The following is a 14,659-nucleotide window of genomic DNA, read 5'->3' as shown; positions in this document are numbered from 1 at the left end:
TTGCAGTAGATATATAAGAATATGTCTTTTGGCTGTGAAATTCTGTGATTCCCTGACTTGAACTACCTCTAAGTGAAGCAGGAACTGAGAATTTTCTTTCAATGTTGCCTTGATCCCTAGACTAGAAAATAATAAAAGTTTTATAGGGTTGCACTGAGACTGGCTCTTCTTTTTTTAGCCTTGGGGATTTCCTGTGCTACTTTAGTTAAATAGATCATACGCTCTGGATTCTTGAGAGGAACCCAGTTGAAAGAGTCACACTTTTGTTCTTCGAGATGAATGGGAAAATGGAGCATCCTCAAGGCCCACAGGACTTGCCAGCTCTTAGGGCAGATATGGGTCAGGGTTGGGTTGTCAGTATCACTCTTTTGGGTCTCTTTGTTCCTCAGGGATAACCCATCTGGGTCGTTCTCATCATGTGAACCACAAGGCAAGAGAAATGGGAAGCTGAAGCTCCTTTTGCAAGGTAGCAAAATGGACTCCACTTTTCATATCATAGGGCTTGCAATTTGATAAATAAATGTTTGGAATGTTAAGTGGGCATTAGAAGGGAGATAATCTACCTCTGTTACCTCGTCTAATTTTGCAATTTTTTTAATTGGGGGAAGAAGAGGAAGGTATTAAGTTCATTGCCAAGCAAAATTACTCAGCACAACTCTCACTCTCTGAGCTCTCACAAATGAGAGGCGGCTCTCTGTCCTAGATTCTATGCTCCATTTAGGCGTCATAGTCACCACATCAAAGTCACTTTATTGTTGTTGTTGTTTTTTTGCTCAGAAATGCTCATATTTTCCCCCTCTGCAATCTATTGACTACTCTCCCATATAATTTTCCTGGATATCCTGGGTTGTTCTATTTTACTATTTCCTCAGCAATGACTTAGAAAAGGAATTTGGTATTTATAGGACACAGTTCATACCATCCTTTCCTAACTTTATATTCTTGTCAAGTTGTCTGTAAAATGAGTCACTTTCTGTTCCAGCTAACACAGTAAACTTAAAGTTACCATCTTTGGAGGGAGAAGGAAACAACCGAAATGAGTAGAACCCATTATCAATTCAAGGGTTAATACATGTCAATTTGACACTGTAGATATTTAAACATTTTCACTGTCCATAACCACAAATATTATATTACATTCCTATTGAATCTACCTACAGGAGTCCTTGCCTCTCTTCTTTTCATGTGTCAAAAATATATTTATTTTATTGTTAATGCTTTGGTCAACTCCTGGAATTTGTACCTAGTTTATGACTCTTATTGCTCTGGGATTTTCTGGAGACAACTCCTAGACACATCTTACTACACATTCTTACAGAGCCTTATAAATATCAACCCTTTTTGTCTGTTACTACAATAGTGATAGACATAAGCTATTTTGCAGAGCCTGCCAAGATGACAAGTTCTCCCAGGGGTTATCCAGTCTCTTTGCTCACGTTAAAACTTTGGACGTCATCCAATTTCCTTCAAATGAATGCGAGAGAATACTGAACCATTGCTTACTGAGTTTCTTCTTTTTTTGTCTCTTCTTTGTTCTTTGACAACAATGTTTAATAACCACACTCTCCCTCCTCTGCTTCCATGGCTAGTAACCCCGAGGTTGCTTTTGACTCAGACTCTTTCTTTGAGATTCACATGAGTCATGCGGTTAGCAACTCATATATACACAGCTTGGCACGGAGATGTATAGAAAATTGGAATGATGGCCACACGCTCTCCCGGGTCCTTGGTTTCCCTTATTGCCTTCAGTCTACATCGCTGTGTGGAAACACTGGGCCCCCTGCCTGTTTCTAACCTTTAATGGTTCGGTACATTTTGAATTGCTTGCAGTCAACTTATGAGAGTTGAGTGCACAGATCTTCTTTCATTTATACCTGTCCTACAGAATCACAAAACTTTTGTATCAAGTGGAGAGCGTCTTTACTCCTTGGTCTCCATGAATATCCCTTCCGTTCTTCTTTCCTCCCTCTTTCCATTCTTACCTTCCTTCCTCCCTCCTTCCTTCCTTCCTTTGTTTCTTTCATTTTCATTAGTTCATTTATTGAACACCTGTTATGAACCATGTATTGTTCTAGACACTGGAGAGAGCTTGCTCAAGAAAAAAAAGAGATGAGATTCCTGGTGCTTATATTTCTGGAAGGCAAGAAAAGGAGGTCCCAGGAAACATTTAAAAGGAATAAAACATAAACAGGATAGCTACATGTAGTGATAAATTCTTTAATAGCAAATATAAAGGGCAATGTAATAAAGAGTGACTTGGGGCAGGTAAGATACTCAAGGGAGACTTCTGAGTTAAGTTAAAACTATCATAATAAGGAATTAGCTAATCATGCAAAGCTTTAAAATAAGAACATTTCAGGCAAAGGGAACAGCTTATGCTATGATGTGGAAAAAACTTGGCTTGACCAAAAAGTCAGAAAAAAAATTCATTAAAAGTAGTAAAATCAAACTTGAGAGCAAGAATACACTCATCTTACCCACGTTAAAAATGGTTAAACAAATAAAAGAAATGAGTAATGGCATTCCAAAGAGGATACTGATCATCTGTTTTCTCCAGTCATTTGTTTCAATGATACAGGATGGAACTCAGCTTCACCCATTAAATATTGAACTAAATGTCTGTGGCACTGTAACCAGACGGCCAGTGTAGTATATCTGGCTCTATTACGTTATCCCAGCCCTCCATTCCCAACTTTTTAAAATAAGAAAATAACTTTGGGGAACGATACAGAGGCATGGGTGCCTGCTATAACATAACACCAAAGTCTGAAACTTAGGAACTGGAAGTACAGGCATGCACCTGTGTGTCAAGAAGCAGGTATAAGATTATGTAGAACCCTGCTATTCATAACAAACAACTAAATATCATTCATACTAAACTAGATACATTGTATAATGTCCATACAATGGAATACACTGTGATATGTTCATACAACAGAATGGGAAAGACCCAAGGAATGCTACAATCAAGAGCATGAATGAAAGCCACACACGTAGAGTTGAGTGAGGGAAGACACACATACAAGAATATATACTGTTAAGATCCAATGTATTTAAACTTCAAAAAATTATAAAGCCCAGTATTTTTGAATTCATGGTAATACAGTAAAACTATAAAGAGAGATACTAACCATGACCATAAAAGGAAGGGTAGTAGGTGGGGAAAAAGGTAGCTGGGATTGGGCCAGGCTGTTTAGTGATTCTCAGGAGTAGGCAATGATCAGTTTTTTGATTTAGGCAGCATTACCTGAGTGTTCTTTTTTTCGGGGGACAAATCACTGACCTATATATTTTTATGGTGCACTAATCTATATGTCTATTAAATTTTACAATAAAAAATAGCAACTAGCATAGTTTCTGGCCCACACTAAATGTTCCATATATTAAAATGGAAGGTATTATAAGCTCGGAAAATACATTTCTCCTCCTCATCTAGGAAAGGAAGGATTAAGTGAAATGTTTCCTAAGTGCTTTCCTTTTTTCTTCTTTTATTGAGATGGAGCCTCACGTGTTGCCCAGACTAGAGTGCTGTGGCACAATCTTGGCTCACTGCAACCTTCACCTCCTGGGTTCAAGTGACTCTCCTGCCTCAGCCTCCTGAGTAGCTGGGATTACAGGTGTGCACCACCATGCCCAGCTAAGTTTTGTATTTTTTAGTAGAGACGAGGTTTCACCATGTTGGCCAGGCTAGTCTCGAACTCCTAACCTCAAATAATCCACCTGCCTTGGCCTCCTGAAGTGCTGGGATTACAGACGTGAGCCACGGCGCCCAGCCTCCTTTTCTCAAAGGAAAAGAAAAATTTATTTAATAAATGGTTTATAGCTGCATCCTGATTCCTGGGCATTGGGGGAGGAGAGGAAGAAACAATTTAACCTACTGATTCTACTGGTCTACTCTGGACTCAGCTCTCTATGTATAACATGAAATCCAGATTTATTTTCATCTGAACTAACATTTGGAAATAATAAGTATTAATGAATGAAAATATTTGTCAAACCCCAGAGTAGTTTAAATCTTACTGTATTTAAACCTTACTGTAGTTAAATCTTACTATATTATATGCTCTATAGGTACTAAATTTCTATTTTGCATTTCATTACATGTATATAATTAATAGATTGATTGCAATAGTTTGAAGTGTGTCTTTTTTTTCCTACTACTTTAAGAAGCCATTCTTGTCTGGTTACCATAGAATCCTTGGAATCTACATTGTAAGGCACATAGTAAGCAGTCAAGAATATTTGTGGTTCTACTGACTGAAGTGATCCTATCTTGTGACTCATGCATGGCACGTCTATAAGTCAAGGTAAAACGAGCTGTTGAAACAGATATACCCAAATTCTCAGTGATAAACAATAGTTTTATTGTCAGGGATCTAGACAGGTGATACTCCATGCAGTCACTGGTAATGGAGGCTTTGACAAAACATCTCACTTTTCCCCAGGTTGAGAGGTTAGTGATATCCAGTGCACGGGGGGGACGAAAGAGACATATGGGAGTACACTGCTTGAGTGACAGGTGCACTAAAATCTCAGAAATCACCACTAAAGAACTTTTCCACGTAGCCAAAACTGTACTCCAAAAACTATTGATATAAAAGAATGTAAAATTAAAAAAAAAAAAAAGAAAGGCAGGCACATGGGAGATCACACAGAAGATCTTGTAGGCCAGGCCTGGAAATGGCATACCTCCCTTCTGCTCATATTTTACTGAAGCAAATCCAGTAAGTGGCACCTCTAAGTGCAAAGTCACCTGGAAGATGCAGTTGCTGCCTAATCTGGGCCACTCCTCCTTGGCAGTAGGGTCTCCTAGAAGGTTTTTCTACCATGCAACTCTAGTGGGCAGCTGGCTTTCTATGCCACAAGACCATTCAATTTATTTCTACAGCTTTATATGCCACACACACCTGTCTCAGCTACATTATAAGCAGGTGAAAGGAAAGAGATTAGATTCAAGTTTGAGTTTTAAAAGGATTTTACTTTGTTTTCTCAAAGCCACCATTTTAGTGTGGCCAGTGTAGATTACTGCTTTGTGTTTTAAGAAACTACAGAGTGAACTAACATTTAATTTATATTTTTGCTCAATTGTGAGGACCTTAATATATTATACACTTAGAGACTTACCAGATCCCTTTATAAATATCACAGAGAGAGAAAGAGAGCATGCTTGCTCAGAGTTTTCTAGAGAATATCTCAAACCATTCAACATTCAAAACAGAGAACAGTTCTTTTTTGCTGGAAGATTAATCTTCATTCTCACACTGTCCTTGGTAAAATTTGAAATTACAACCTCAATTCCTTGATTCATACCAACAAAGGAATATTTTCAAGGGCCTGCTTCTCTTTCACACCAAAATTTCAGTTTGTTAAAGCAAACAATATCCTCCCTTTTATCCTGCATTTCAGGCTATTCCTGAACCGTATGTTTCTGATCTTTCTTACTAAAAGTCATCTGTTAGACATTTCGGCCATTCAAAAAAGGAGATTTTGAAAATTCTAATTTCCTAAAAGACTATCTCAAGGTGCTAAATGATAACCAGGAACTGGGAATTGTGGAAATTCTTGCTTCCATGATTTCAAATTAGAGCTCACAGTATCTTTGGCATAAGCTGCATAAAGAAGAGCATCATGGCACTGAGTGATTTAAACATGAAAAACAGGTACGGGTAATGTGGTTCTAACCAAATCACTGATGTACTGCAGATTAGACAGAATTAATACATTTTATGCTGCAGTCTCTATAAATGAGCCAACAAATATGCAGCAAAATTCTGAACTGCAGCCTTGAAATAAAGAGCTTAATGTAATTCAGTGCTTATTGGTTGCCTAGAAACTAACTTGGAAGGGGGTTGGGGAGGGAGGACTAGAAAACATGAAGGGTTCATAGGTTTAATAAGGAAATTATTAACTCTGAACTGCTTGGGGATGTGATAGATATATCCCACAATGCGCTCCTCTCCCAAGAGCTCCGTAATATGTCTGAGAGCAAGGTTAGGGGGCACGCAGAAGAGGCTGCTATAGAATGACAGGGCAGTAGTGAAGGCTTTGGGCAAACACCAGCATATACAAACCTCCACAGTTGCTGCAACCCGAGATCATCTCAACTTGCTGACAACCTGCAGCTATGGGTAAAGCTTGCTTATTTGCTTTTCCTAAATTATTTTTTCTAGAAACATATAGCTTAGGACTTGGTTATTACATGAGACATTTTCCCAATTCATTATATCACTAAGGATATTTTAAAAGCTTATTTGGGGCAGGTAGGGGATGGGGAGACAGAAAATAGCTTAATCAATTTTGTATTAAGAAAAGTGGGCCAGGTGCGGTGGCTCATGCCTGTAATCCCAGCACTTTGGTAGGCCAAAGCAGGCAGATCACCTGAGGTCAGGATTTCGAGACCAGCCTGACCGACGTGGTGAAACCCCGTCTTTACTAAAAATACAAAAAAAAAAAAAAAAAAAAAATTAGCCAGGCATGGTGGCAGGCACCTGTAGTCCCAGCTACTCAGGAGGCTGAGACAGGAGAATTGTTTGAACCGGGGAGGTGAAGGTTGCAGTGAGCTGAGATCACACCACTGCACTCCAGCCTAGGGGACAAGAGCAAGACTCTGTCTCAAAAAAAAAAAAAAAAAAAGTGAATGGGCTGAGAAATGGGGCACACATATTCAGCAGGAAGCCTTTTGGAAGAGAAGAAATTAACCAGTTTTGATGTTTTAATTGTAAACCACGTGATGTGAAGGGCTCATTGAGACCACTCATGTTATAGTCCCATTGTTAGTTCAGCTTCTTTTCTTTATTTGAATATAGAAACGGAGGAGGAGGAGATGATGCCCAGGTGGCAATTCACAAGGTAGCATTTTAGCATTTCCTCTAAAACTGTTAAATAAATGGCCCTCTCAATTTTAGAGCAGTGCATACACAGGAGGTACTGTGCTTTAGCGTCTCAGCTTCAAAGAGTTGCTTAGGGAGGACATATTTTATCCTAATTATTTTTGACAAGAATTAGGTCAGATTAATTAGTTTAAAATTCAGCTGAACAACAACGTCTTTGCTAATTACTTCAGGGTGCATACATAATTCATTTACAATAGCAAAAAAAAAAAAAAAAAAGGAAAATATTGGGAAAGAATGCTACCTAACACTGACCTCTTTGATGGGCCATCATAAAAAGAGGACCCTCTGTGACCCAAAAGGTGTGATGAGGAGCAGAGAGTTCCTTGAGCATTTTATTCAGTATGAAGATGAATATTTATATATATAAATATGCATTTTTATGTAGCTTTATGTTTTTAATTACTTACATTTAAAATAAACATTTATTTATTTATTTGTAAACAGTGTCTCCCTCTGTCACCCAGGCTGAAAAGCAGTGGTGGGATCGCAGCTCATGTATCCTCTGCCTCCTGGGTTCAAGTGATTCTCCTGCCTCAGCCTCCTGAGTAGATTACAGGCAGGCACCACCACGCCTGGCTAATTTTTGCATTTTTAATAGAGATGGGGTTTCGCCATGTTGGCCAGGCTGGTCTCGAAATCCTGGCCTCAAGTGATCCGCCTGCCTCGGCCTCCCAAAGTGCGGGAATAACAGGTGTGTGCAGGACCTAAATATATTTTAAAAAATACTTTAGAATGTAATGTCAAGGTAAGACAGAGTAAGAGAGTGAGTGGTGAGGAAGTGAGTTTTAGAGAGAAGACAGTCCTAGTTCAGTCCCTTACCTTACCTTAGGCAATGCACATACCTGCTCTGAGGTTTAGAGTTTTTTTTGTTATTGCTGTTAAACTAATAATAGCATTTAGCACCTGCTTTATGGCCTGTTGTGAGAATTACACGAGATAATGTATATAAACCTCAGCACCTGACATAGAATAAGTATTTAATGTTTGTTAGTTATTATCGTTTCTGTAGTAGCATAGGAAATTAAATAAATGTTTGCCCTACTGCCTACACACTTCTAAGCTTGCCCCCAAATTACTTTAAAGTGAATTATACCTTTTGGCTCAGATTGCATTAGAAAGGCCACTTTAAATTTAGACTCAATTTTCTACAGGGGAAAAAAAAAAAGACGGACTAAAATATTTCAGTAGATTAAATATCGAGTAATATTAAGCAAAAATCAAAGGTGTTTAGGAGGTCTTGGACAAATATCAAATAGTAGAGTGTAAGTATGCATTATCTGTCCGGTGTCCTACTCAGGGATAAGAAAGCATTTTAAAATCTTTTATTCATGAAGAGAAGCCCAAATAAAGATTGTGGAATCTCTTGATATTTAAAGGCTTGCTCACAGATTTTTTTTTTTAAACTGCATGAGACAAACAAATGTATCTACACTTGCGTTCTGTTAGTCTAAAATTCTGGGCTAAATTATGACTGGATTTGGGGACATATAATCAAGCATCCAAATACATGTAAACTAAAGATGAATTTTGCTGGCAAACTAGTTCCAGCCTCTGGCATTAGAACTACTTAGATTTTCTTTTCAAATACTAGACTATATTTACAGCTTAAAAATTGGATGGAATAGGAGCCATTAAAAACTGATGACATTGAAGGAAATAATAACAATATTTTCCATATGTAAACCCAAGCTGAAAATACAATTGGCATCTCTGTCTGCTCAGTGCAAAGTATTTTGATGCTTCACACATGTTATCATGATTGCTGCTACTTTAATTCCCACATCTCGCTGGCAAAATAATTGAATAGTGAAGAGAATAAATGTCTCTTACAGTATGTGAGGCAAAAACCCGGATGGTTCAGATCACATTTGGCCAAAGAAATGCTTTCTTATTTCTCTTCTAGAACTGTGTGTCTGAACACTATCACGGGCTGTCCAAAGTGTTTTATTAGATTGTTCTTCCCCCTAAATACCTGATTTCTGTATTAGAGGCATGCTCTCTTCCCTGGAAACAATTTTCCTTTTAAAGTTATAAAACACCCATTAAAATGAATAACTTAACAACTGCCATCAGAGAACAGATTCCAAACAAACATAGTCTGCAGCATTGTTAAGAGAAAAACAAAGGAAGGCCTATGTACTTACTTTACATGGATAAAATTTCCAATGAACCTTTGACTATTTCGGGGAGAAAACTTTAGCTATTAATGGGGAAAAGGAAGCAGGTGTTAGGGTGGATTGGGAAGGAGAGTGCAACTATCTTGAATTGCTGAATTGCAAACCGCAGTAATCATCAAACTCAGGTCATTTCTGGTCTTACTTTTTCTCTTTGACAAAAGAGCAACAAAAGATCATGAGAATCCAGATCTGAGCCACATCACACACACTTTTCTAGTCTCTATACTTCTCAATTATCAACCAGCTGTAATTGATATTGTCATTTCCATTGGCAGTGGCAGCACAACAGGTAGTGAAAATGGGTGCAGCGAGAAAGATGTGGCTGAAATATTTTCTCCAACACAGACTGAGATCTTTACCTACCTTATAAAAATGTTTTCTGCATTAAATTTTACATACAGGGAGATTTTAGCAAATGTCCTGATATATTGTTACTATAAAATAATGAAGGATAGTATTGTTGTTACTTTTGTGATTCTTATCAATATCAAATAAATTGTCTACAGTACACTGTAGACTGTCAAATAAATACAGTCAACTGTAGTTCTAAATTCAAAGACATTTCAATTTTAAATAGAGAGCATAAACATAGGATATAAGTAAATGAGAACAGATAAAAAATAATTATATGAATAGAATGTCATTGTAGCATTTGACTACACTCGTGACCACTTTTATTATCATAAAATTTGAATACTTACTTTTTCTTGAATGCCAACTCTAGGTTTAACTATGTTAGGTGCTTTACATATGAAATTTCATTGAATCACTGCAGTATAACTAAGCCTGGTGTTATCATAATCCTCATTGTAGAGATAAAGAAACAACTGAGGTTACATGAAGTTCAGTAACTTTGCCCAAGTCCCCCAGCAGCTGATCCTTAAACACATGAGAGTAAGTGTCCATATCTCTGGTAGACATGACTGGTAGACGGTTTGATACTGGTGAACCACTGCACCTCACTATACACTTTCTAAATTTGTTTGAGCATACTTAAACTCGTTGCCCACTGTTTGGTCTTTGCCAGAAAAGACGGAGGTAGAGTGACAAGAGTGAGTGAAGGAAAGAGTAGATCGCTTAGAAGTTTGGCCCCATGGATTTAGGTTGACTGCACAGCAGTCTGGACCACCACTAGGGGGCAGGCTGATGCTAATTCATATTTCCATCATTTTTGGCCTAACCATAATGCACAGAACCCAAAGCAGCACCTTACTTTGCTCCCCACTATCCAAGAGGGGACAGTTCTTTTTTTTTTTTTTTCAATGAATGCAGGTATAAAAGTAAGTGAATATGTGCTTATTAGGGCAGGGATGAAAGAGTGTGAATGTAAAATATTGCAGCCACGTTAGAAAGACGTTGGACCATTTCTTAGAAAGTTCAACCCAAACTTAACATACAACCCAGCAATCAGACTCCTAGATAACTACCCTGGAGCCATGAAAACCTATGCTTACATAAAGATTTTCATGTGAATATTCATAGCACTATCATTCACGAATGATGGTCAAAAAGGGGACGTTATCCAGATGTCCATCAGCTGATGAATGGATACAGAAAATGCGCTCTATCCATAAAATGGAATACAATGCAGCAATAAAAAAGGAATAAACCACTGATATATGTTACAACAGGAGGGAACCTCTCCAGCAATATACTAAGCAAAAGAACTCTGACACAAAAGAACCCAGACACAAAAGAACACACACGTTGTATGGCTTCTATGAAATGTCTAGAATAGGTAAATCTGTAGAGACCAACAATGCATGTGTATGTGCCTGGGGCAGAGTGTAAGAATGTGGATTAACAGTAAACGGGTATATGGAATATGGAGCAATGAAAATGTTTTAATACTAGATTGTGGTGATGCTTGTACACTCTGTAATTTTATTAAAAACCATTGAATTGCCGGGCACAGCACTGTAATCCCAGCACTTTGGGAGGTCGAGGTGGGTGGATCACAAGGTCAGGAGTTCGAGACCAGCCTGGCCAATATGGTGAAACCCCGTCTGTACTAAAAATACAAGTAGCCTGTAATCCCAGCTACTTGGGAGGCTGAGGCAGGAGAATTGCTTGAACTCGGGAGGAGGAGATTGCAGTGAGCTGAGATTGCACCACTGCACTCCAGCCTGGGTGACACAGTGAGACTCCGTCTCAAAAAAAAAAAAAAAAAAATCAACTGTATACTTTAAAAAGATGAATTTTATAATATATAGATTACACTTCAATGAATCTGTTTAAAAAAACTTTAAAATGAAATTAGGGATGCAGCACGTCAGGTATGAGATACCACATTCACTCAAGTTGTTTCCCTCCTAAAAACATCTCACCCTTCAGTCCACATTCTGCTGCAGCAACTTCCTGCCCTTCTAGTCCGAACTTCTTTTATAACATTTTGCCTCTGCTTCTTGTCTCTTTATCCTCATCTCATATTCAACCCTCAGCCCACTGCAATCTGGCTGCAGCCCACATAATTCTACCAAAATTGTTCCTGCCAACTTTGTGATGACCTCCTTTTTGTTACATCCAGTGGGTGTTTTTAGCCTTTATCTTTACTTTATCTCTCAACACTTTGACCCTGTTCACCACTCTTGTACCCGCTATTTTCTTATAGAATTTGTAATGTTTTTTTCTCCCGGTTTTCCTTCAGTACCTCCAGTTGCTTATTTATAGTCTTCTTTCTGGGTTCCTCTTTCTTTGTCCATCGCTTATGTTCTGATACTACTCAGGACACTAAGCAAGATCCTCTTCTCATTATACTTCAGAGTGGGGTCAGAATATCATCTCCATCAGAACCATTGGGGGTGGGGCCCTACTTTTCAACAAGACAGGTTTGGGAACTACATTCTACACATACTCAATGAGACACTCTGGAGTTGGTACCCAGGATTTTGAATTTTATTAGGTTTCCTGGGTAATTAATCTGACCCCAAAGTTTGAGAATCATTTCTTTATAAATCATCCCCAAGTAATATTATCTACTCCCATATGTTTAATTACCATCTGCTTGCTGACATTCTCAAAGTTTATATCTCTAGCTCAGATCTTGTTCCTGAAAAGGACTTTGTTCATAATCCATAGGTACAAATTTCTGCTAGCCATCTCACTTGAAGTCTTACAGAAAGAAAATCTTACTATGCCACCAAATGATCGCATTACCTTCGCTTGCCAATTTCGTTATGTTTCCTAGTTTGGTTGAGGAATCAATCACCACTGTTACAGGTCTCACAAATCTAGTTAGCTTCCTTAACCCTTGATCCTAACCCTCCTTTACATCCAATCTGAAGCCCTCTCAATTTAATCTTCTAAAAATATGATGATTGCAGCTACTTGTCTCCATCCCCACTAAGAGGTATTCTAGTTGAGGCCAATAGCATCTCTCACCTGGAACCACTATAGCTGGCTCCAAATGAGTTTCTCAGCCTCTGTCTTTGCAGCTCTCATTTGTCTATGATCCTTTATTCGTAATGAAATGATTTTTCTGAAATGTGAACCTAACCAGGCTGCTTTCTTATTTAAAACATTTCTGTAGAATTCCAATCCTCTTAGGAGAAAGGTCAAATTCTTTAACTTGATAGAAAGGAACTTCCATGATGCAACCCCAGCTTACCACTCCAGACTTATTATTCCCAATCTCCATTTCATCTTTTCAGGAATTCTAACTTCTAGTTTCATTGAACTCTTACTTCTTTAAAGAATGCCAACTCTTTTATTGCCCCTATACATCTGTATATAATGCTCACTGAGATGAAGCATTCTGTTCCATGTCTTTGGCTGATTTTTACTGATTTGTCAGATATTACCTTCCATGTTACTTTCCCTGGAAACTCTCTGAACCTGTAAGTTCAAATAAAAGGATTCTGCAATATGCAATTGTAATACACTATGTTGACCCCAGCATAGAACTATTATACTGCATGTTAAGTTTTCAGTTTTAAGAATTTACTGAACTCTTTTTCCATTGGACTACAGGCTTAATGGGGGCTGCACCCAAGTGACCAGAACATGGATTTTGCCAATATAAACCTATTGAATTATTCAACAAGGGAATGATTTTTTTTTTTGTAAACCACAATCTAAAAAAAGTGTTATAGTCACATATGTTTAACTTCCACATAATTGAAATTATAATAAAGACTAAAAAATTATGTTGTAGGTTTTTGGATGACACTGTGGATATCATTTTAAAATACTATTTGAATGTTTTATATAGAATAAATACAAATATATCAACATTTGGGGGAAAAGTATTAGAGAGTGTTAGCATCCTCAGAGCTAACTCACTATAAACCATACTAAATAATATTAAAAAAATATTTTCACTTATTTGGATACAGAAAATAATGCTATAAATTTTAAACTATTTTATTAGCACCACAAATTCAATAGCATTCTTATTTAAATAGACATGAAAAAGAGTCTTGTTCAAGGTCTATTTTCATGTTGCTTTACCTTCTGAATGAATGACATTTTAGAAGTTATAATGGAGATTTCCTTATTTAAAACACGTTTACCTCCTCAGAAGCCTGTTTTTGACTTTGTATATTTTGAGGTGACCTCTTCACTTATAGTTTCAAGGTGTCTCTACTAAAAATACAAAAATTAGCTGGGCACCGTGGCATGCACCTGTAATCCCAGCTACTTGCGAGGCTGAGGCAGGAGAATCACTTCAACCTGGGAGATGGAGGTTGCGGTGAGCTGAGATCACACCACTGCACTCCAGCACTGGCGACAGAGTGAGACTCCATCTCAAAAAAAAAAAGGAAAGGAAAAAAAAAGAAAGTTCGTGAAGATCAGTAAAACAGCCAAAGAAAATATAGGAATGAGAAATTCAAGGCGAAATTTGGCCCACTGGCCCAGAAGATATGGGAATAAACTACTTGTGATGTTTAATGGGAAGCTATAGAGAAGTTAATAGGTTTGTGAACAAATATCCCAAGCTGTCAGCTCGAGGTATGATTTCCCAATTTAAGAAAATTTCTACCCTGAGGGTAATAATTTTTACTCAGATTTTGTCCAAAGAAACTGCCACTCTTTCCTATTTTTCTTCCTTTTCCTATTTTCCTAATAAAAGTGTTCAGTATTCTTTGGTGGAATTCTGCCCTATTGTTTGATGTCATGACACTTTCTCGTCATTTGGAGCCACTGGTGCTAACCAGAGCAGTGTAGGATAGATACTAGAAGATGCATTAGTACATTAGGTTATATCTCATATTCTTATGTAATTCACACATTCAGCTACTTAACAGAACTCAGCTTCAAAGTTGTGTGATTTTATTTGTAGTATTTTTAAGTAATATTTTATTTTTAAATTTGATATATGCTCATTAAGAACGCATACGAACAATTAGTCACACATCGCTGTAACTGAAAACAAAAATTATGTGGAATAACTTCAGACAGGCCTGATAACCAGAAATATTAATAATGTGTGGAGTCCTTCTCAGCTACTTAACAACTGGGGTGATAATTTTGGGACTCCTCACTCTGGTCCACTCCTTTCCCAAACATTCAGATATTCACTTGATCATCTTTGTTTGCCCTAAAACTCTCTGATACAAGAATACAATATTGTTTTGCAAGCAGAAATAC

General features: G+C 37.7%; 1 long non-coding RNA gene across 2 annotated transcripts in view; it reads left to right on the top strand.

The window, feature by feature from the left end:
• Positions 1–4,246: 4,246 nt before the first annotated feature.
• The window catches only part of GRM7-AS3 (GRM7 antisense RNA 3), a 173,092-nt gene continuing 162,679 nt past the window's right edge, over positions 4,247–14,659 (top strand). For both annotated transcript variants that reach the window (NR_110123.1, NR_110125.1), the window contains exon 1: positions 4,247–4,307. This is a non-coding gene — a long non-coding RNA (GRM7 antisense RNA 3). The remainder of the gene's footprint in view (positions 4,308–14,659) is intronic.

This window comes from Homo sapiens, chromosome 3, assembly GCF_000001405.40.
Source record: "Homo sapiens chromosome 3, GRCh38.p14 Primary Assembly".
Taxonomy (NCBI): Eukaryota; Metazoa; Chordata; class Mammalia; order Primates; family Hominidae; genus Homo; species Homo sapiens.
This window is presented reverse-complemented; position numbering and strand designations above follow the sequence as displayed.